Source organism: Homo sapiens, chromosome 9, assembly GCF_000001405.40.
Source record: "Homo sapiens chromosome 9, GRCh38.p14 Primary Assembly".
Taxonomy (NCBI): Eukaryota; Metazoa; Chordata; class Mammalia; order Primates; family Hominidae; genus Homo; species Homo sapiens.
The window spans coordinates 19,219,583-19,242,529 of NC_000009.12; the positions used below are offsets into that span (position 1 = coordinate 19,219,583).

The 22,947-nt window shown below is 44.6% G+C and overlaps 1 protein-coding gene across 39 annotated transcripts in view, besides 7 other annotated features; it reads left to right on the forward strand.

The window, feature by feature from the left end:
• Positions 10,269–10,518: an enhancer, noted in NCBI's record as "active region_28220". NCBI's record gives its function as "activates an Ori minimal core promoter by ATAC-STARR-seq in GM12878 lymphoblastoid cells {active_cell/tissue: GM12878}" and the evidence as "EXISTENCE:reporter gene assay evidence [ECO:0000049][PMID:35858748]".
• Positions 10,549–10,848: a silencer, noted in NCBI's record as "silent region_19791". NCBI's record gives its function as "represses an Ori minimal core promoter by ATAC-STARR-seq in GM12878 lymphoblastoid cells {active_cell/tissue: GM12878}" and the evidence as "EXISTENCE:reporter gene assay evidence [ECO:0000049][PMID:35858748]".
• Positions 10,903–11,409: an enhancer, noted in NCBI's record as "NANOG-H3K27ac-H3K4me1 hESC enhancer chr9:19230483-19230989 (GRCh37/hg19 assembly coordinates)". NCBI's record gives its function as "activates a minimal SCP1, AML or CMV promoter by ChIP-STARR-seq in primed H9 embryonic stem cells {active_cell/tissue: H9 hESC(primed)}" and the evidence as "EXISTENCE:reporter gene assay evidence [ECO:0000049][PMID:30033119]".
• Positions 10,929–11,298: a silencer, noted in NCBI's record as "silent region_19792". NCBI's record gives its function as "represses an Ori minimal core promoter by ATAC-STARR-seq in GM12878 lymphoblastoid cells {active_cell/tissue: GM12878}" and the evidence as "EXISTENCE:reporter gene assay evidence [ECO:0000049][PMID:35858748]".
• The window catches only part of DENND4C (DENN domain containing 4C), a 143,769-nt gene continuing 131,752 nt past the window's right edge, over positions 10,931–22,947 (forward strand). For 35 of the 39 annotated variants that reach the window (NR_169852.1, NR_169854.1, NR_169850.1 and 32 more), the window contains exon 1: positions 11,111–11,251. The gene's annotated coding sequence lies outside the window, so the exon portion shown is untranslated. Of the gene's footprint in view, positions 11,342–22,947 lie in introns of all 39 variants that reach the window. The other 4 variants (NM_001386047.1, XM_047423585.1, XM_047423584.1 and 1 more) reach the window with 2 other exon arrangements.
• Positions 11,410–11,915: an enhancer, noted in NCBI's record as "NANOG-H3K27ac-H3K4me1 hESC enhancer chr9:19230990-19231495 (GRCh37/hg19 assembly coordinates)". NCBI's record gives its function as "activates a minimal SCP1, AML or CMV promoter by ChIP-STARR-seq in primed H9 embryonic stem cells {active_cell/tissue: H9 hESC(primed)}" and the evidence as "EXISTENCE:reporter gene assay evidence [ECO:0000049][PMID:30033119]".
• Positions 11,519–11,658: a silencer, noted in NCBI's record as "silent region_19793". NCBI's record gives its function as "represses an Ori minimal core promoter by ATAC-STARR-seq in GM12878 lymphoblastoid cells {active_cell/tissue: GM12878}" and the evidence as "EXISTENCE:reporter gene assay evidence [ECO:0000049][PMID:35858748]".
• Positions 14,117–14,290: a silencer, noted in NCBI's record as "fragment chr9:19233697-19233870 (GRCh37/hg19 assembly coordinates)". NCBI's record gives its function as "represses an EF-1alpha promoter that drives an FKBP-Casp9 reporter gene in an ReSE screen in K562 erythroleukemia cells {active_cell/tissue: K562}" and the evidence as "EXISTENCE:reporter gene assay evidence [ECO:0000049][PMID:32094911]".

A 22,947-nucleotide genomic window follows, 5' to 3' on the forward strand; every position in this document is an offset into this window, starting at 1 on the left:
ACTCTTCTGCCTCCCTCTTCCACTTTTAAAGTCCCCTTCTGTTTATATTGGGGCCATCTGGATAATCCAGAATGATCTCTTAAAGTCGTCTGATTATCAACTTTAATCCATTTGCAACCTTAATTCCCCTGCCATGTTTTTTTTGAGACAGAGTCTCACTCTGTCACCCAGGTTGAAGTGCAGTAACGCGATCTCAGCCCACTGCAATCTCTGCCTGCTAGGTTCAAGCAATTCTCATGCCTCAGCCGCCTGAGTAGCTGTGATCGTGCCACTACACTCCAGCCTGAGTGACAGAGAGAGACCCTGTCTCAAAACAAAAGAAAAAGACATCGGCCGGGTGCAGTGGCTCACGCCTGTAATCCCAGCACTTTGCAGGGCCGAGGCGGGTGGATCACAGGGTCAGGAGTTCGAGACCAGCACGGTCAAGATGATGAAACCCCGTCTCTACTAAAAATACCAAAATTAGCCAGGCATGGTGGTGGGTGCCTGTAATCCCAGCTGCTCGGGAGGCTGAGGCAGAGAATTGCTTGAACCCGGGAGGCGGAGGTTGCAGTGAGCCGAGATCGTGCCACTGCACTCTAGCCTGGGCAACAGAACATGACTCCATCTCAAAAAAAAAAAAAAAAAAGAAAACAAAGGAAAAGAAAAAGACATCTAATTTAATACACATTGTTGATTCATTAACTTCAGACTCACCGCCAAAGGCGGTATAACTCGTGCCTGGGCACAGCTTATCTAATCCATCTTCTCTCCACACGGCACATCACAACCTTCCTGTGCCTAGGAATAGTAACCAGCACTTCGGCACTACCCTTTGCGGCCATTTTAAACAGCAAAATTACCAACAAAAAGCACAAATGCAAAAAATATGGCACAAAGTAGACTGTGAAAAGGACCACTTGTTTACAGTTTGAGAGCTGAAATAAGAAGGCAGAGTTTTGCCTTGTTTAACATCAGCTGGGAATGTGAATGTTGAGTGACTCAAATTTTTTTTTTTTTTTTTTGAGACAGTCTCCCTCTGTCGCCCAGGCTGGAGTGCGGTGGCGCGATCTCAGCTCACTGCAAGCTCCGCCTCCTGGGTTCACGCCATTCTCCTGCCTCAGCCTCACAAGTAGCTGGGACTACAGGCGCCTGCCACCATGCCCGGCTAATTTTTTGTATTTTTAGTAGAGATGGGGTTTCACTGTGTTAGCCAGGATGGTCTCAATCTCCTGACCTCGTGATCTGCCCCTGCCCGCCTTGGCCTCCCGAAGTGCTAGGATTACAGGCATGTCACCGCGCCCAGCCGAGTGACTCAAATTTTTTGCTTCTTTGTACATGCCCATGAATGACTGAAAAGGCCATATATATTGATTTTTAGCTTACAAATACATTTTAGAAAGTAGGTAAATTCACAAGTATGGAATCCATGAATAGTATGGATCCACTGTATATCCACCTCCTGTTCCTATGCCTGACACACAGTAAATGCTCAATAAATATTTGTCCAATAAAAAGCAGAACCAGGCTGGGCATGGGGTCACACCTATAATCCCAGCACTTTAGGAGGCCAAGGTGGGAAGATTGCTTGAGCCCAGGGGTTCCAGACCAGCCTGGGCAACATGGTGAAACCCTGTATCTACAAAAAATACAAAAATTGGCCAGATGCGGTGGTGCACGCCTGTTGTCCTAGTTGCTAGTGAGGCTGGGGTGGGAAAGTAGCTTGAGCCTGGGAGGTCAAGGCTGCAGTGAACTGTGATTGTGCCACTGTACTCGGCCTGGGTGACAAAGTGACAGTGTATTATTGTTATAATAACAATAATAAAAATGGTCTTTATCTTAGCTGGTGTGGTGCGTCATACGTGTAGTCCCAGCTACGTGGGAGGCTGAGGTGGTAGGATTGTTTGAGCCCAGGAGTTGAAGGATGCAGTGAGCTATGACTGCTCTGCTGCGTTCCAGCCTGGACAACAGACCAAGACTCTATCTCTAAAATAAATCAATAAACAAATAGGCCAGGCGCGGTGGCTCAAGCCTGTAATCGCAGCATTTTGGGAGGCTGACGTGGGTGGATCCTTTGAGATCAGGAGTTAGAGACCAGCCTGGCCAATGTGGTGAAACCCCATCTCTACTAAAAATACAAAAATTGGCTGGGCGTGGTGGTGCACACCTGTAGACCCAGCTACTCTGGAGGCTGAGGCAGGAGAATCGCTTGAACCTGGGAGGCAGAGATTGCAGTGAGCCGAGATTGCGCCACTGCACTCCAGCCTGGGCAACAGAGTGAGACTGTCTCAAAAAACAAAAACAAAAACAAATAAAATGTTTTTATATTTTAGAGATATACACTGAAATATTTAAAAATGAAATAATATGTATTTGTTTCAAAATACTTAGGGGGGGGTGAGGAGTCGGTGGAAATATACACGACACAAGATTAACATGAGTTAGCCAGGCACAGTGGCTCACACCTGTAATCCCAGCACTTTGGGAGGCCGAGGCGGGCGGATCAGTTGAGGTCAGGAGTTTGAGACCAGCCTGGCCAACATGGTGAAAGCCCATCTCTACTAAAAATACAAAAATTAGCTGGGTGTGGTGGTGGGCACCTGTAATCTCAGCTACTCAGGAGGCTGAAGCAGAATCGCTTGAGTCTGGGAAGTGGAGGTTGCAGTGAGCCAAGACAGCCCCACTGTACTATAGCCTGGGTGACAGAGCTAGACTCTGTCTCAGAAAAAAAAAAAAAAAAAAAAAGATTAACATAATTGTTGAAGCTGAGTGATGGATACAGAAAAGTTTACTACTATTTTTGTTTATGTATTATTGCTTTGTTTTCTATTATATATATATATATATATTTTTTTTTTTTTTTTTTTTGAGACAGAGTCTCGCTCTATTGCCAGGCTGGAGTGCAGTGGTGCGATCTCGGCTCACTGCAACCTCCACCTCGCAGATTCAAGCAATTCTCCTGCCTCAGCCTCCCGAGTAGCTGGGACTACCGGTGCGTGCCATCACGCCCAGCTAATTTTTATATTTTTAGTAGAGGCAGGGTTTCACCATGTTGGCCAGGAAGGTCTCAATCTCTTGACCTTGTGATCCACCCGCCTCGGCCTACCAAAGTGCTGGGATTACAGGCGTGAGCCACTATGCCTGGCCAAAACGAATGCTAGTATTTTTAAAATTTAATCTTTTTTTGTTGTTGTTTTTGAGACAAAATCTTGCGCTGTCACCCAGGCTTGAGTACAGTGGCAAGATCTCAGCTTACTGCAGCCGTGACCTCTTAGACTCAAGTGATCCTCCTGCCTCAGCCTCCCGGGTAGCTGGGACTGCAGGCGTGCATCACTACAAATGGCTAATTTCTTTTGGATTATTTTTTTTTTTGAGTAGAAACAAGGTCTTGCTATGTTGCCTAGGCTGGTCTTGAACTCCCGAGCTCAACCAATCCTCCTGCTGCAACCTCACAATGTGTTGGGATTACAGGTGGGAGCTACTTCACCAGGTGTAATCTTTGAAATAACACATATATTTCTGGATCCACGGTCAGGACAATTTGCTATGATGTGAGGAACATCAGAACTGAGGCCCAGAAAAAGTGGTTCGGGGAAGCAGGTAAGAATCAAGCTCAGTCAGTACAGACAACGGTCCTCTAAGGTGGGAAACAGGAACATAGCTAACTATTGTAGACGGATGTGGACAAGTGCCACTTAGGGAAATTGGCCATATTTGGAGGTAAATGCTAAAGTAGTAGTCAAGTCAGCACAGACACTAATACCCAATAGTGGGGAAAGACTGAGGGCAGAGGACTGTTCCATTCACATAAAATACTTTAGGGAGCCCATAAAAGCCAGCTATGGGCCGGGCGCAGTGGCTCACGCCTGTAATCCCAGCACTTTGGGAGGCCGAGGCAGGCAGATCACCCAAGGTCAGGAGTTCGAGATCAGCCTGGCTAACATGGTAAAACCCCGTTTCTGCTAAAAATACAAAAAATTAGCTAGGCGTGGTGGCGCACCCTTGTAATCCCAGCTACTTGGGAGGCTGAGGCACAAGAATCACTTGAACCTGGAGGCGGAATTTGCAGTGAGCCGAGATCGCACCATTGCACTTCAGTTTGGACAACAAGGGCAAAACTCCGTCTCAAAAAAAAAAAAAAAAAGAAAGAAAAAAAAAAAGCCAGCTATGGGCAGCAGGTCTTATGTCTCAGATACTCATATAGACTATCTTCCTGCCCATTACTCCTTTCTCTGTCTTCCTCCCTCTGCTAACGCCTGCTCTTCTTTATGACCTATTAAGATACTGTTCTCAGGATCACTTACTCTCCTCCCACTCAAGATGAGAAGCCTCGTGACAGTCCTTCCCACTCCTTGCCCAGCCACGTTTGGCCTGTAGGCCTAGAAAAGAAAGCTAGATAAAGAATGTGCTGAGTACCAAGAGACTCTAGCCCACTTTGATAATGCTGAGACAGAGTCCTAGCAAGATAAGATATGGGAGGGAGCACAAAGAGAAGAGTGTGCTAACACTCCCTGCGAAGGGTGGGATATTCTGGGTCATTTAAATAGGAGATTTAGTGTTTAATAAAACAGATTTAGTGTTTGTTGATGTTACTTAACTTAAAAATCTAAAACAGTGGCTAACGGTGCCTGCAGGTGTGAAGCACTGGGCCTTCAAATACTATGTTTTCTAAAATTAATGAGTTGGGGGACTGGAGCCAAATAACTCGCCAGTCTACCACATGCAGATTACATATTGGAAAGTGGAGACCAGGCTTGAATTTTAATGCTGTGGAGGCTCTCTTAGGAAATCTCGAACAAGTTACTGTTTGGTGAGCTATGTGACTTCTGAGGCTGGCAATCAATCAATCAATCAAAAGAACTTTGAAGTGAGTAATTTCTCCTCAATATGTAAATATGAAATCACCAAAACTGAGACTGAGGGACTCTGGACAACTCAGTAAATTTGGCTGGGGCTTAATTTCCTCATCTTATCAAATCAGTTAATTAGAATAGATGATCTCTAAAGATTGGCATTCAGCTCCAAACTTCTGATTCCATAAAATACTTAAAAAAGAAGACTTTTTTATTACAGAAAAATTCAAAAAGCCATAAAAAGGAAAGGAACTCTTAAGTACCAATCACCCAACTTCCACATGTGTCTAATCTTTTTTACCTAACCCCTACCTACTCCCTTCTCTTTCCCGCACTCCTCCCCATCTCCCACGGATTATTTTGAAGCAAATCCTAGACAACATATGAAACACACTCTTAACAAATTTCTCTTCTATCAAAGGTGGTTTATAAATAACAGATGAGATAAAGTCAGTCTTTCCGGCTGGGTGCAGTGGCTCACGCTGTAATCCTAGCACTTTGGGAGGCCGAGGTGGGTGGATCACGAGGTCAGGAGATCGAGACCTTCCTGGCTAACAGGGTGAAACCTGTCTCTACTAAAAATACAAAAAATTAGCTGGGCGTGGTGGCGGGACCTGTAGTCCCAGCTACTCGGGAGGCTGAGGCAGGAGAATGGCGTGAACCCGGGAGGCGCGGGTTGCAGTGAGCGGAGATCGCGCCACTGCACTCCAGCCTGGGCGACAGCGCGAGACTCTGTCTCAAAAAACAAAAAACAAAAACCAAAAGTCAGTCTTTCTACTTTTCCTACTTTTTCTTACTGCAATTGTAAACACTATCATTATGGTATTAAAATAAGCTTGGATCAGCATTACAGGATGCCAAGTCATATGCTGAATGAATCCAATCATATTCACTAAAAGAAGAGCTACCATTAATGAGCACTTGTTACCTTCCAGGTACTGCTGTATTAGTTATGTGTTGTCGTGTAACAAATTATCCCCAAATTTTGCAGCTGGAAAGAAGAAGCATTTATTACCTCACAGTTTCTATGACTAAAGAATCCGGGAGTGGCTTAGCTGGGTGATCTGGATCACGGTCTCTCAGGACGCTGCAATCAAGATGTTGGCTGAGGCCATGCTCATCTCAAGGCTCAGTTTGGGGAGGATCCACTTCTAATCAAAATCACAAGGAAACCTGATGGCATGGTACCTAGTTTCCCCAAGAGCAAGCAATCCAAGAGGATGAGACAAAGAATTTAAGACTGAAGCCACAGTCTTTTATCATTTCATCCTGTTAGAGTTATCCTATCAGTTTTGAAGTACTCAGTGTATTAGAAACCAGTCAGTAAGTTCACCCCACACTCAATATGAGGGGATTACACAAGGATATAAATGGCAGGAGGCAGGAATTGTTGTAAACCATACTGAGAGGCTGCCTATCACATGTGCTGATTATTGATTCCTGAACTGATGTGTTTAATATTTATAGCCTATTGTAAATTAATAAATGATCTTCTTTGTGAATATCATTCTACTTACTTTACAGATGAGGAAAAGTTAAGTAACTTACCCAAGAACAGAGAGAAAGAAAGTGAGAGAAGCACAGACTGATTTATGCCAGGCATTCATCAATTATTATTATTATTATTTTTAACTTTTTTTTTTTTTTGAGACAGGGTCTAGGTGTCACCCAGACTGGAGTGCAGTGGCACGATCTTGGCTCATTGCAACCTCCGCCTTCCAGGCTCAAGTGATCCTCACACCTCAGCCTTCCGAGTAGCTGGGACTACCGGCATGCACTACCACACCCAGCTAATTTTTTGTATTTTTGGTAGAAATGGGGATTCGCCATGTTGCTCAGGCTGGTCCTGAACTCCTGAGCTCAAGCGATTTGCCCACCTTGGCTTCCCAAAGTGCTGGGATTACAAGCTTGAGACACCACACCTGGCCCATCAATTAGTTTCTGAGAGACTATAATATATATGAGTTACTCTGCTAGATCCTAGGCATCCAGAATAAAAACATATAAATACACATCTGTGATATATATTACTCCTGCCCTCACAGGGCAATGATTAGAAGTTTTTGAAGCGGGGCTGGGCATGGTGGCTCATGCCTGTAATCCCAGCACTTTGGGAGGCTGAGGCGGGCAGATCACGAGGTCAGGAGTTCAAGACCAGCCTGAACAACATGGTGAAACTCCGTCTCTACTAAAAATTACAAAAATTAGCCGGGTGTTGTGGCGCGTGCCTGTAATCCCAGCTATTCAGGAGGCTGAGGAAGGAGAATCGCTTGAACTTGGAAGGCAGAGGTTGCAGTGAACGAAGATCACACCATTGCACTCTGGCCTGGGCGACAGAGCAAGACTCCATCTCAAAAAAAAAAAAAAAAAAAATCATGTTTTTTTTTTTTTTTGAGACAGAGTCCTGCTCTGTCGCCCAGGCCGGAGTACAGTGGTGCAATCTCGGCTCACTGCAACCTCTGCCTACCGGGTTCAAGCGATTCTCCTGCCTCAGCTTCCTGAGTAGCTGGGATTACAAGCGCACACCACCACGCCCGGCTAATTTTTGTATTTTTAGTAGAGATGGTGTTTCGTCATGTTGTCCAGGATGGTCTCAAACTCCTGACCTCAGGTGATCTGCCCGCCTCGGCCTCCCGAAGTGCTGGGATCACAGGTGTGAGCCACCGCGCCCGGCCCCAAAAATATCTTAAGGAAATTTTCAACATTTTCATTCCACTCCTTTGTGTCACAGTTCCACGGAAATCTGCAGTGACCACGCCCAGTCAGAAGGCAGCAAGAAGGAGCTTTCTGCTAGAATGTCTGTGTTCCCCTCTTCGATGGGCTGATTTTTTCCTATGCATTCTTCTATCTACATAGGCCCAACTAAAACTGTGACACTATAATCATTATAACAATTATGTTGATATCGGGCTCTCCGACTCTCCTACTTTTTATACAGTCAAATATTATTATTATTTTTTTGAAACAGGGTCTTGCTCTGTCCATCAGGCTGGAGTGCAGCGGTGAGATCTCGGCTCACTGCAATCTCTGCCTTCTGGGTTCAAGAGATTCTCCTGTCTCAGCCTCCCTAGTAGCTGAGATTACAGGCACCCACCACCATATCTGGCTAATTTTTGTATTTTTAAATAGAGACGGGGTTTTATCACATTGGTCAGGCTGGTCTCAAATTCCCGACCTCCGGTGATCCACCCACTTCAGCCTCCCAAAGTGCTGGGATTACAGGCATGAACCATGGTGCCCAGCCTTTATATTAAAATTTAAAATGAGGCCGGGTGTGGTGGCTCACACCTAGAATCCTAGCACTTTGGGTGGCCGGGAAGCAGGCGGATTGCTTGAACTCAGGAGTTTGAGACCAGCCTGGGCAACGTGGCAAAACACTGTTATCTACCCAAAAAAAAACAAAAACAAAAACAAAAAAAACAAAAAATTAGCCGGGTGTGGTTGGTTGCGCACGCCTGTAGTCCCAGCTACTTAGAAGGCTGAAGCAGGAGAAGCGCTTGAGCCTGGGAGGTGGAGGTTGCAGTGAGCCAAGACGATGCCATTGCACTCCAGCCTGTGCAATAGAGCAAGCCTCTGTCTCAAAAAATATATATATATATAAATATATATATATAAAATTTCAAATGAACTTATTTCAGTTCTGGGCCCCTAAGCATGCAGTTGGGAAGGTTGCTGAATCAAGAACTTCCAGATCTGAGAACAGTTAACTCACATGAAAAATTAGTCCCAAAACATTCAAGTTCATTCTATGAAATTTTTGGTGGAAAATGGCAGTGAAAAATCTATGGTAAATCTATAGGACGATTAAGATAGTGAGAAAAATTAAAGAAAATCCTAAGCCTTCCATTGCAAAGTGAGAAAAATCAAGTCAAGTGGAAGAGAGATACTGGCCTCATCCATTTTTCATTTCTGTGGGTGCCATAAAAAAAGAGAGAGAGAGAGAAAAAAAAAAACTCTGAATCCCTGAGAGCTAATTAAATGAATGTACCCATTAAGAAATCTTGTCTTGGTTGGGCACGGTGCCTCATATCTGTAATCCCAGAGTTTTGGGAGGCTGAGGTAATAGGATTGCTTGAGTTCAGGTGTTCAAGACTAGCCTGGGCAATATAGTGAGACTTTATATCTTCCCCTAACCCCCCCAAAAAATTAGTGGGGTGTGGGTGGGTGGTTGGCACAGGCCTACCATCTCAGCTATTCGGGAGGCTGAGGTGGCAGGAAGTTAAGGCTGCAGTGAACCCTGTTTGTGCCACTGCACTCCAGCCTGGGTGACAGAGGGGGGGATCCTGTGTCCAAAAAAAAGGAGGGGGCGAAGAAATCTTGTCTTTCCTTTTCTAGTTGGGATGAGGAAAAATTAAAAAATATATATGTAAATAAAGAAAGAAATCTCGTTTATATTGCTTTAAAACTGCTAATTAATTTAGACTTTGGGAAAGAAGGAAAAGAAGCCCACAAGCTAAATTTTGTTTCACTGTTTCTTTTCTTTTTTTTCTTTTTTTTTTTTTTTCTGAGGCAGAGTTTTGCTCTTGTTGCCCAGGCTGGAGTGCAATGGCGCAATCTCGGCTCTCTGCAACCTCCGCCTCCCAGGTTCAAGCCATTCTCCTGCCTTAGCCTCCCGAGTAGCTGGGATTACAGGCATGCACCACCACGCCCGGCTAATTTTGTATTTTTAGTAGAGACAGTGTTTCTCCATGTTGGTCAGGCTGGTCTGGAACTCTCGACCTCAGGTGATCCGCCCGCCTCAGCCTCCCAAAGTGCTGGGATTACAGACGTGAACCACCGCGTCCGGCCCACAAGCTAAATTTTGAAGTATTAGATCCTTTCTTAAACTTTTGCTCTTCGGATTGTCAATGTCAAAGATAGTTTCCAGGGGGACCAAATTGGCCCCAAACTGTTATTAAATAAGCCTTAACTTTTATTGCTGCGCATTTCTTCTGAAATCAATTCTGACTGCTTACGTGGTTAGAAAAATAGTTTCTGCTATTGAATATAAAACTCAAATTATCCATGGCTATGCAATAAACTTCAGAAATAAATGGACAGCAGTGCATTTATGACCCAGGTATAATCTCACATTTTTATGCAAAAATACAGATTAAATAAGGAGAGTGTAATTTTCAGGAAAATGATTATTTATGTGGATACTCACCAGATATGCAGAAATCTTACCAGTTCTGATTTTGACCTGCCATGGAATCTGAAGTCATTCGCCTTTTTTTCCCCCCAGAGGTAAAAAAGTTATCTCTACTTCAAACCATTTCCTTCTTCCTAAATAACTAGTAATTGCTTTTTCATTTACTATGATAACTCAAAAACGTTGTTCAAAAATATCCTGCAAAATTTGCATTATAGAGAAACGACTCTGCAGGCGTCTGTGTCGATAATGAGGCTACACTTAGGAGGCGTGAGGGTACTGACTATGCAAATGAGCGATTTCTCCATTAGGAATTCCCATCCCCAAATCTGGGCCGAAGGAGAGACACCGAGCGCGGCCAGGGACTCACATGGTGCACTGGAGCCAAGGGGTTTCGGGAAGGGCCAGCGCGCGGGTCTCTCTAGAGCCCTCTACTCATGCGTGGGAATTCCAGATTCCTTCCCTGGGAAGGAATCTTCACGTATCTCCCGGCACTGTCCTCAGTGACCTTCAGCCACTCGGCATCACTTTCCCTGTCTTTGAAAACTCCGAGAGAAGCAGCCGCCACCTGCCTCAGGCCAAGGCAATAAACCCACATCACACCGCCAGTCTGAGCCCTGCAGGAAGGGGTGCACAGCGGCCTCCAGAGCGCTTTCTCCCCAGCTCTGTTTCTGCAGGCTCGGCCGCGCGAACGCTGAGGAGGGGATCGGAGGCCCGCAAGGCTCAGACCCCGCGCCCCGCGGGGGTCGCACAGGGGTCGGGCGGGGGAGGGGAGCGGTGGCTGCAGGGCCTCGGCCCTCCCCGGGGGAGGGGCCTGAGCACCGCACCGCCCCCCTCCTCCCTGCGTCTTCTCCCTCCCACCCCCCGCCCTTTTCCACCCGCCCCCGCAGGAGGAAAGGGAGAGGGAGGGGGAAAAGAAAGTGCTGTTTTGTGGAAAGGGGCGGAAGGCGGGGGAGAAAAAGGGAACAGAAACATGGCGGTCAGGTCTTGGGACGGCTGCGCCGCGGGCAGCTCCTAGGCGACGCGCCGCCCGCACTGTCCGACGGCTCACAGCGCGGAGGCACCCGCGCGGGCCAGCGCTCCGGCCATCGCCCCTGGCTGTAGGCGGCGCCCCTCGGAGACCCTGCCCGCGAGGCGGCGCAGGCGCAGACCGGACTGAGGCGGCGGCGGCCGCTGGAGCTAGTCCCCCGCCCTGCCCTGCCGAGCGCGCCCAGTCCGCGAATCCGGTGCTTTCTTGCCCCAGGAAGAAGCCGTGTCGGGGCTGCGCTGACAGAGGAGCAGGCAGCAGGTGAGGCTGCGGCGCGGGGCCTTTGGCGGAGGAAGCCTGCGCCGTGCCCTCGCGGGGCCTGCGCTGCAAGGCTGGGAGGGCGCGGGACAGGTAGAGCCCGGAGGGCTGAGTTCCGAGTGGCTGGCCCGCGGGGGGTCGCCGAGGAGGCGGAGAGTGGCCGCGGCTGGCGTTCGTGGCCTAGTTTCTCCGCGGTTTCCGGGGGCGGGGAGTCCCCGGATCCTGCGGGATGCAGTCGGGGAAAGGCTGCCCCTGAAGAGCCTCCCCGCGTCGCCCGCCGGGCCCATGAGAATCGTTTGCGTACAAGCGCGAGGGGTCTGGGCCCGGGGGACCGCCGGGGCGACGGCCGCTTTGGTGGGGGCCGGGGTGCGGAGGGAGCAGGATCGGGGCTTCCCAGAGGGGGTCGAGGCTGAGAGAGCGGAGAGCTAGAGCCAGGGGTGGCGGGCAGTCTCGAGAGGAGTCGGGGGACTGAGAAGTGTCGGGGACAACGGGGAGGAGGGGGACCTGGGCAGGTGTCTCTGGTGAATTGAAGACATTTCCTTCTCTGTCTTACGGTGGCCGATCCTCAGGGCTTCTTTGTCGGGGATGACTTTCTAGGAGGGCAGTATCCTTTTAACTCTGGAGTGACTAAACACAAAACCAAGGAATGAAGTCCTAAGGCTGACTCCTGTAAAGAGCTGTAACTTTTTCTGTTTTAAGAATGCTGTCACGTCTTTTTTTTTTTCCTCCCCTTTTCTGCTTGATAGACCTTTTCCCTCTCGAAGACCGTCTTTTATCTGCACTAATAAGGAATTACCCAGTTTTTAAATAGTACCGCCTCCTTCTCCCCTTATGTATGTTTGTCACACGGGAAAATTTAGGGTAGTTACCGCGGGTACTTGTGCAAATTTGAGGGAAAGTGTCATTTCCAGTAGTGAACCCTCAGCTGTCTCTTTGTGCCTCCGAGATACTGTCAAGCGTTGTAGCCTGAGAAATTGACCCACTGAGCCTGCTTAATTGTGTGCAAACCCGTGTTGAGGCGTTCTTCCTAGGCCCTAATTTACGTAGGAATAGGTTTTCCCTTCCGGTCTGTGTATAATGAGAGGGGAGAACGTTAGTGCTAAGGCGCTAAGTTCTGGATAAATACTTGATTTGATGTGATAGTGTGTATTACTCTATCAGAAATGCAGAGCGTTGTATGATTTTTCTGTGTACACGCGATAAGAGCAATATTAGTTGCAAAAGGAAGTTTTCATCTTTGAACATTAAAGGTATCCTTTATTCTTGATCACTATAGCATGCAAAAAAGAAACTATATTTTCTGTCCTGTTCTTTGTATTACTGTTAAAGAGTTGGTAAACTGCCGTCTTGCTGTGAGACTGGGAAGTCGGCAATGAAGTTAGATTTGTATTCATGAACATGATCTGCCTGTCATATAGGCTTGCTTTGACTTGTTTTTTTTTTCAGTAGTGGCAAAGGGTTTTCTGCCACTCAATCCACACTTTCCTCCGCATTGGTATCTCCGTTGACCATTTTGCAAAATAGTTTATTGAGATTAGGGGTCTGATCTTTTGTATAACCTGTTGTAGTGAACTGATCATATGCGACTTGACTTTGGCCAATAGTACCTCGTGCAGTGTACAGTACTACTATTTAGACTTACTGATTTGGGTAATAGAAAAGCTATGATGTTAGAAATGTTGTCGTTGTATATTGGAGAAATTTTGAAGTTGCATATTGGAGTAATTTAGTCCTGTATGCTTTGTAAATGAGTGCATTCTATTGTCGAGAGTAAATACAGTATTTTGTAGTATAAACTTAAGCTTTTAGCTGAAGAAATTGGCAGCATAGTTGGAGTGTGGAGACTATTCTTAAAACGCAAATGTTTTAAATTACAAGGAACTGTAGTGGTGTGTAGGCTGTAACAATTCCTGGTGCCAAATTTGGGAGATTATTTGGTTGAGCTACTTTCTATAAAGAAACATATTAAGTATCTGCAATAAAAGTGGATTTGTAGCTATACACAAGGGATTTTACATTATAAATAATAACTCAATAAGGCACCTTTCTTTGCTCTTTGTGTATCTGCCAGTTAAGACCAAAACATCTCATATTTTCACTGGAGCTTCCTGCCAAAACAAATACTGGTTTTGCATTGGCTTTGCTGCTCAGTTTGAAAGCTAGGGGAATCTCTTAGAGCCTACTCTGGTTCTGGAGGCTGCCTGATTAAAAAAAAAAAAAAGAAAAATTGAAAGCTAGGTTTCAGTCATATGCTTGCACCTTAAGTACAGGTTGTAAAGTAAAAAAGAAAGTTGCTGAGTCAGTGGCAGGTTGTTTCATTTGTTTTTTTGATTTGCAAAACGGAATTTCTGTCATAATTTGAATTTCCAGTGTAATATGTTTGCTGAATAGCAAGGGCAGATAAGCTTTCATAATAACTGAATTAAAATGTTAATTTTCTTTATACTGGTGCCATAGATTGTCAGTTTGACAGACGTAGCAAAGGGATGCCTTGTTGGAATGGGAAATTCCTTTTTATCAGCTAAAATTTGGGGAAAGGATTTTGCATAGTACAGCTGGTGTAAAACAATAGGTCTTTAGCATCAGATTGTAGGATATTCCAAAATTAGGCAGTTTTATTATTTGAAATTTGAAACTTAATATTTTGCAGGAAGAAGTTTAAAGCTTTAAAACATTTTCTACATTTGTTAAGTATGTGGATGTAATAGAGCTTAACATGGTATTTGAAACCTTTTTTTTTTTTTTTTTGAGATGTAGTCTCGCTTCGTCACCCAAGCTGGAGTGCAGTGGTGTGATCTCGGCTCACTGCAGCCTCTGCCTCCCAGATTGAAGCGATTCTCCTGCCTCTGCCTCCCAGATGCAAGCGATTCTCCTGCCTCAGCTTCCCAAATAGCTGGGATTACAGGTGCCTGCCACCACGCCTGGCTAATTTTTGAATTTTTAGTAGAGAAGGGGTTTCACTATGTTGGCCAGGTGGCCTGATGTCAGGTGATCCACCTGCCTACGCCTCTGAAAGTGCTGGGATTACAGGTGTGAGCCACCACACCCAGCCTTTGAAAACTTTTTATTGGAAAAAATGTAACATGATTAAAAGAAATTCAAAAGAAAAAATTTAAATTACTCTCCCCTATCTAACACTTATATTTTTCTGTACTCTAATGCTGTTATACTTCTATAATGTAGTAGTATAATATTCTAATCCTGTCTGTGCTTGTGTATAATTCCGTGATTAATGTTAATATAATTGTCTTTTAATTTAACATGCTTTCCCTGTTGCTGTATATTACTGTTATTTTATGGCTTTTAATAGTCCAAAGTTTTATTTACTGCCTCAGTTTATTTAACCATTTCCATAGCTTAACATTTTAGTAATTCCACTTTCTTACTCTGATTGTTATTTTTATTAATTTTTTTTTTTGAGACCGAGTCTCGCTCTGTTGCCCAAGCTGGAGTGCAGTGGCGCGATCTCAGCTCACTGCAACCTGTGCCTCCCAGGTTCAAGCGATTCTCCTGTCTCACCCTCCCGAGTAGCTGGGACTACAGGTGCGTGCCACCACGCCTGGCTAAATTTTTTTATTTTTAGTAGAAATGGGGTTTCACCGTGTTAGCCAGGATGGTCTTGATCTCCTGAACTCGTTATCCACCCACCTTGGCCTCCCAAAATGCTGGGATTATAGGTGTGAGCCACAGCACCTGGCTGTTTTTTTTTTTTTTTTTTTTTTAACACGGTCTCACTTTGTCACCTAGGCTAGAGTGCAGTGCATCTCAGCTCACTGCAGCCTCTACCTCCCGGGTTCATGTAATCCTCCTGCCTTAGCCCCCTAATAGCTGGGACTATAGGTGCGCGTGCATGTGCGTGCATCACCCCACTTCACTAACTTTTTGTATTTTTTGTAGAGACAGCGTTTTGCCATATTGCCCAGGCTGGTCTTGAACTCTAAGTTCAAGCGATCCACCCATCTCAGCCTCCCAAAGTGCTGTGATTACAGGCGTGAGCCACTTTGTCTGACCCATACTTTTTTACTCTTAAAATAATGCTATAATGAAATTATTTTGCTAATATGATGGTCCATGGGTCTATGCCAAATTACTTTTTGAAATTTTGGGAAAGTCAACTTTCTTTTTTTTTTTTTTCTTTCTTTTTTTATTGAGATGAGTCTTGCTCTTGTCACCGAGGCTGGAATGGTGCAATGGGGTGATCTCAGTTCACTGCAACCTCGGCCTCCCAGATGAAGCAATTCTCCCTGCCTCAGGGTCCCTAGTAGCTGGGATTACAGACGCCTGCCACCACACCCAGCTAATTTTTGTATTTTTAGTAGAGACGGGGTTTTGCCATGTTGGCCAGGCTGGTCTTGAACTCCTGACCTCAGGTGATCCATCCGCCTCGGCCTCCCAAAGTGCTGGGATTACAGGCGTGAGCCACCACGCCTAGCCGAAAGTCGACTTTCTTTGAATTACTTTCTTTGCAGTGGATCATTAGGGCTGCTACAATATAGTATTTAATTGAGAACTGAATTGAAACAAGGTGAAAGGCTGTAGATGTGCATGTATCACTTGCATTCATTGAGTGAAAATCAAAATATAAATTCATAATTCTGTTAATAACTTGCTACTAGTTTGTGTACATTAACTTATGATATAAGAAGTAATGTAATTCTTATACTCTTATACTTAAGTAATATTGTGGGGCTTAAATGTTTTGAAGTGTTCTTTGTTTCATTCAAACCTAATTATCTACCAATCCAGATTTATTATCTGTTGGTTTACAGAAGAGTCATCTTTTTTTTTTTTTTTTTTTGAGACGGAGTCTCGCTCTGTCACCCAGGCTGGAGTGCAGTGGCGTGATCTCAGCTCACTGCAAGCTCCTCCTCCCGGGTTCATGCCATTCTCCTGCCTCAGCCTCCCAAATAGCTGGGACTTTAGGTGCCCGCCACCACGCCTGGCTGATTTTTCGTATTTTTAGTAGAGATGGGGTTTCACCGTGGTCTCGATCTTTTGACCTTGTGATCCGCCCGCCTTGGCCTTCCAAAGTGCTGGGATTACAGGTGTGAGCCACTGCGCCTGGCCAGAAGAGTCATCTTATATATCTTTGTAATATTTTAATTTGTTTTTGTAATATTTAAAGGTTGTTCTCGAATTGAGTTTTTTCTTTGTTATGTTTTTATTTCTTTTTTTTTTCATTTTATTAGCCAGGAGATATTCTCATCTGATAATCTAGTTTTTTATTGTGTATATGCAGTTCAATTATCTCTTAATTTAGGGATTCTTAGATCTTAAAAGCATAAATGTTATAAATCTTTTTTTAAATTATGGAAAGAGGATCTATTAAAGAGGCCCTTTTCTATCTGCTAGGAATAATAATAAGAATAATATAAAAAGGTGACTAGTAAGGTCTAATAGGTTAAACAGCCCTATAAATAAGCACCGTAACTACAACACAACAAATATAGAATGGAGCAAAATATGCTGCAGGAGCAGAGGGAAACACTTGTGTAGTGTGGATTAGAGAAGGTTTACATAGAATAAGACATCTGATTAAAAACTTACAACTTGCTGTAAAAAGGCGTGAAGTAATGAAAAAATGTGATGAAGTTTATTAATATGCAAGTAATTTAGAGGGAGTGGGTATGAAGCTGGAGAGTAAGTAGAGGCTGTGTCATGAAGGGTCTTACAGTCAAGTAAGAAATTAAGACTATATTGTAGAGAACAGGGAGCTATTGGAAGATTTAAGCTGTTAAATATTTTGGCTCCATTAAGAGGGAGGGATTGGGAGAGCAGTTTGAGTGAGACCGCAGGTTCATCATCCAGAACATCTTGAAGGCACCTAGGCATGTATTGAGAACAGCATGGTAGGGGTAGAAAATAATGGATAGACTTGAGAACTGTTACATAATACAAACATTTCCTGTGGCCCACAGGCCATGTCGCTTTAGCCTTATCTTCTTGCCCACTGTGTACCTGCCACACCAGTCTACTTTCAAATTTTTTCCCTCAGAGCGTTTGCATATATACTATTCCATTTGCATGCTACTTTTTCTAAAAGATCATTTCTGGTCCCCAGTCACATTGTCTAGTTAGGGAGATGAGTTACTATCTATTCCAGCATCTTGCTGTTTTAATATGTAGAATTTCTTTCTTTTTCTTCCTTTTTCACATTTGTTCCTCTTATTATTTGGGCAATTATAGGCGATTTGACTTTTTTTTTTGGAGACGGAGTTTTGCTCTTGTTGCCCGGGCTGGAGTGCAATGGCACGATCTCGGCTCACTGCAGCCTCCACCTCCTCGGTTCAAGCGATTCTCCTGCCTCAGCTTCCTGAGTAGCTGGGATTACAGGCGCGCACCACCACGCCCGGCTAATTTTTTGTATTTTTAGTAGAGATGGGGTTTCACCATGGCCAGGCTGGTCTTGAACTCCTGACCTCAGGTGATCCGCCCACCTTGGCCTTCCAGAGTGCTGGGATTACAGGCGTGAGCCACCACGCCCGGCCGACAGCTTTTAGATTCAGGATTTTGTTTTTTGTTTGTGTTTTTTTGTTTTTGAGGCAGAGTCTCGCTCTATCACCCAGGCTGGAGTGTAGTGGCGTGATCTCGGCTCACTGCAACCTCCGCATCCCGAGTTCAAGCGATTCTTCTGCCTCAGTCTCCCGAGTAGCTGGGACCACAGGCTTGTGCCACCACGCCTGGCTAATTTTGTGTGTGTGTGTTTTTAGTAGAGACAGGGTTTCAATGTGTTAGCCAGGATGGTTACGATCTCCTCACTTTGTGATCCGCCCGCCTCGACCTCCCAAAGTGCTGGGATTACAGGCGTAGCCATCGCACCCAGCCAGGATTTTCTTTATACACAATCATTTCTGCAGAGAAATCCAGTTGTACTTACTCATTTCCAATCTGTATGCCTTTTTTTCCTGCCTATTGCCGCTGGCTAGATTAATGCTATCCTCTAGAAATATAATATAAACCAAATATGTAATTTAAATTTTATATACCCCCACACTAAAAAAGTAGCGATAAGTGAAATTAAATTTAATGTATTTTTAATTTCACTACATCCAAAATATTATTCAATATGTGTAGTAATTTCCTAGGGCTGCCAGAGTAAATTACTGCAAAGTGGGTGGTTTCTAACAGCTTAAATTTATTTTCTGACAGTTCTGGAAAGTAGAAATATGAGGTCAGGGTGTCAGGAGAGCTGTGCTCCCACTGTAGGCTCTAGGGAAGACCCCTCCTTGACTCTTCCTCTGTTTCTTTCTTTCTTTTTTTTTTTTTTTTGAGATAGAGTTTCACTCGTGTTGCCCAGGCTGGAGTGCAATGGCGTGATCTCAGCTCACCGCAACCTGTGCCTCCTGGATTCAAGCGATTCTCCTGCCTCAGCCTGCCGAGTAGCTGGGATTACAGGCATGCACCACCATGCCCGGCTAATATTGTATTTTTAGTAGAGACAGTGTTTCTCCATGTTGGTCAGGCTGGTCTCGAACTCCTGATCTCAGGTGATCTGCCGGCCTTGGCCTCCCAAAGTGCTGAGATTACAGATGTGAGCCACTGCGCCCAGCCTCTTCCTATTTCTAGTGGTTGCTAGCAGTCCTTAGAGATATAGGAACTAGTTAGGTTTTCTCTTTCCTTCCCCTCCCCTCCCCTCCCTCTCCCCTCCCCTCCCCCTTCTCCTCCCCTCCCCTCCCCTACTCTCCCTTCCCCTGCCCTCCCCTCCCCCCTCTCCTCCCCTCCCCTCCCCTGCCCTCCCCTCCCCCTCTCCTCCCCTCCCCCTCCTCCCCTCCCCTCCCCCTCCTCTCCTCCCCTCCCCCCTCTCCTCCCCTCCCCTCCCTTCCCCTGCCCCTTTTTTTTTGAGACAGAATTTCGCTCTTGTGGCCCAGGCTGGAGTGCAATGATGTGATCTCGGCTCACTGCAACCCCCGTACCCCGGGTTCAAGTGATTCTCCTGCCTCAGCCTCCTAAGTAGTCGGGATTACAGGCATGTGCCACCACGTCCATCTAATTTTATATTTTTAGTGGAGATGGGGTTTCACTATGTTGGTCAGGCTGGTCTCGAACTCTTGACCTCAGGTGATCCACCCACCTCGGCCTCCCAAAGTGCTGGGATTGCAGGCAGGAGCCACCTTGCCTAGCCTATAATATTCCTTTGTTCTTTTTTTAATGTCTAGAGGACCTGTAACGATATGCCTTCTATCATTGCTCATATTGGTAATTCCAGCCTCTTGCTTTTTTCTTAATCTACAGATACTGATATTTATTGTTTCTTGTTTATTTTAAATTTTATTGATTTCTGCATTTTATGTTTTTTCCCTCTACTTCCCCTTGATTTAGTCTGCTTTTTTTCCCCGAGCGTCTTGAGGTGGACATTTATGTCTTTAATTTTAGAACTCTCTTATTTTCTAATACAGGTGCTTAAAGCTATGAATTTCCTTCTAAATACTGTTTTAGCCACATCTCATAAATTGATTTCTTCTTTTCATTCAGTTCAAAATATTGTTTAATTTCTTTTGCAGTTTCTTTTTTGATCAGGGGTTATTTAGGAGACTATTATTTAATTTCTAAATACTGGAGAATTTTATATAGTATCTTTATGTTAATGATCTCAAGTTTAATTCCATTGTAGTCAGAGAACATGCTGCATAATTTATATTCTTTTTTTTTTTTAAGATGGAGTCTCGCTGTGTCACCCAGGCTGGAGTGCAGTGGCACTCCCCATCTCTACTAAAAATACAAAAGTTACTCACTGCAACCTCCACCTCCCAGATTCAAGCAGTTCTCCTGTCTCAGCCTCCCGAGTAGCTGGGATTACAAGCGCACACCACCATGCCCGGCTAATTTTTGTGTTTTTAGTAGAGATGGGGTTTCATCGTGTTGGCCAGGCTAGTCTTGAACTCTTGACCTGAGGTGTACGCCTGCCTTGGCCTCCCAAAGTACTGTGATTACAGGCGTGAGCCACCGTGCCCAGCCAATTTATATTCTTTAAAATATTTCCATGCTTGTTTTACGGTCCAGCATATGGTTTATCTTGGTGAATGTTCTATGTGTGCTTGAAAAGATGGTTTATCTTGCTGTTGTTGGGTGCAGTGTTCTATAAATAACAATTATGTCAAGTTGGTTGATAATGTTCTTCAGATCTTACATATTTTTAATAATTTTCTGTTTACTTGTTCTGTGAATTATTGCATCAGTGAGGAGTGTTGAACTCCCTGTGATTGTGGAGCTGTTTATTTCTCCTTTCAGGTATGTCAGTTTTTGCTGCATGCACTTTGATACTCTCTTGTTAGATGTACACAGTCATAAGTAATTTAACTAGGGGGATACATTCTGAGGAATGCATCATTGGGCAATTTCTTTATTGTGCAAGCATCATATAGTGTACTTACATGATCCTAGATGGTGTAGCATGCTACTCTTGTAGGCTATAGCCTATAGCCTATTGCTTCTAGGCTACAAACCTGTACAGCATATTACTGTACTGATACTCTAGGCAGCTATAGCATAATGGTGAATATTTGTGTATCTAAACATAGAAAAGATACAATAAAAATACGGTATAAAAGGGCCGGGAACCAGGCACAGTGGCTCACACTTGTAATCCCAGCACTCTGGGAGGCTGAAGTGGGTGGATCACGAGGTCAGGAGTTCGAGACCAGCCTGGTCAACATAGTGAAACCCCATCTCTACTAAAAATACAAAAATTAGCCTGGCATAGTGGTGTGTGCCTGTAGTCCCAGCTACTTGCGAGGCTGAGGCAGGAGAATCACTTGAACCTGGGACACGGAGGTTGCAGTGAGCCGAGATCATGCCACTTCACTCCAGCTTGGGCAACAGAGTGAGATTTCATCTCAAAAAACAAAAAAAAAAAAGGCCAGGCATGGTTGCTCACACCTGTAATCCCAGCACTTTGGGAGGCTGAGGCAGGCAGATCACTTGAGGTCAGGAATTTGAGGCCTGCCTGGCCAACATGGTGAAACTGTGTCTCTACTAAAAACTCAAAAATTAGCCTGGTATGGTGGTGGACGCCTGTAATCCAAGCTATTTGGGAGGCTGAAGTAGGAGAATTGAACCCAGGAGGCAGAGGTTGCAGTGAGCCGAGATCACGCCACTGCACTCCAGCCTAGGCGACAGAGTGACAGAACACAACAGAACACAGAACAGAATGGAACGCAGAACAGAACGGAACACAGAACAGGACAGATATGAAAGATAAACGTGGTACACCTATAATAGGGCACTTACCACGAGAGGACCTTGCAGGAGTGGAAGTTGCTCTGGGCGAGTCACTGAATGAGGGGTGGTGAATGAATGTGAAGGCCTAGGATATTACTGTGCCCTACTGTACACTTTATGAACAATGTACAGTTAGGCTACACTAAATTCATCAAATTTTTTTCTTTGATCAATAGTAAATTAGCTTATTGTAACCTTTTGACTTTAGAAGCTTTAAAATGTTTGTTGTTTTTTGACTCTCGTAACAACACTTAAATACAAACGCATTTTACAGGTGTACAGAAATATTATTCTTTAAATCCTTATTCTGTAAGCTTTTTTCTATTTAAAAAATGAATTTTTTTTTTAGAGATAGAGTCTCGCTATGTTGCTTAGGCTGGCCTCCAACTCCTGGGCTCAAGTGATTCTCTGGCCTCAGCCTCCTGAGTTGCGTGCCACTGCATCTGGCCTTTTTTTTTCGTTTTTCTTTTTTTTTTTACTTTTTAAACTTTTTTGTCGGAAATGAAAACATAAGCGCACACATTAGTCTAGGGCCCACACAAGGTCAGGATTATCAATATCAGTGTCTTCTACCTTCACGTCTTGTCCTACTGGAAGGTCTTCAGGGGCAATACTCACGTGGATCTGTCTGGACTACCTCCTGAAGGAAACTGCCTGAGGCTGTTTTTAGGTAGCTTTTAAAAAACATAAGTAGAACGGTGACTCTCGCCTGTAATCTAAGCACATTGGGAGGCTGAGGTGGGACGATCGCTTGAGCTCAGGAGATTGGGACCAGCCTGGGCAACACAGTAAGACCTCATCTTAAAAAAAAAAAGTAAGTAGAAGGAGTGCACTCAAATGATGTTTAAAAGTATGACATAGGTTGGGTGTGGTGGCTCATGCTTGTAATCCCACTGCTTTGGGAATCTGAGATGGGCGGATTGCTTGAGCCCAGGAGTTTGAGACCAGCCTGGGCAACATGTATCCACCGTTAAATTATTGTGAGAAATAGTTTCACCTCCATGAGATTATTCTATTTCAGCTCTTAAGCCCTTTCTGCCTTTCCCCAAGCCCTTGGCAACTACTGTTTTGTACTATTTCTATAGTTTTGCCTTTTCTGGGATGTCTTATAATTGAAATCATATAGTATGTAGCCTTTCTGGACTAGCTTCTTTCACTTAGCAATATACATTTAAGGGTCCTTTACATCATTTTGTGGTTTGCTAGCTCATTTATTTTTATTGCTAAATAATCCATTGTATGGATATATTCCAGTTTGTTTATCCATTCACCTGTCAAAGGACATCCTTGGTTCCAGGTTTTGGTGATTACGAATAAAGCTGCTTATAATCATTGTGTGCAGGTTTTGTGTAACTATAAGTTTTTAAATCAATTTGGATAATCAAATACCTCAGCAATGTGATTGCTGGATCATATGGTAGGCCTGTATTTAGCTTTGTAAGAAACTGCCAAACTGCCTTCCAAAAGGGCTGTTTTATTTT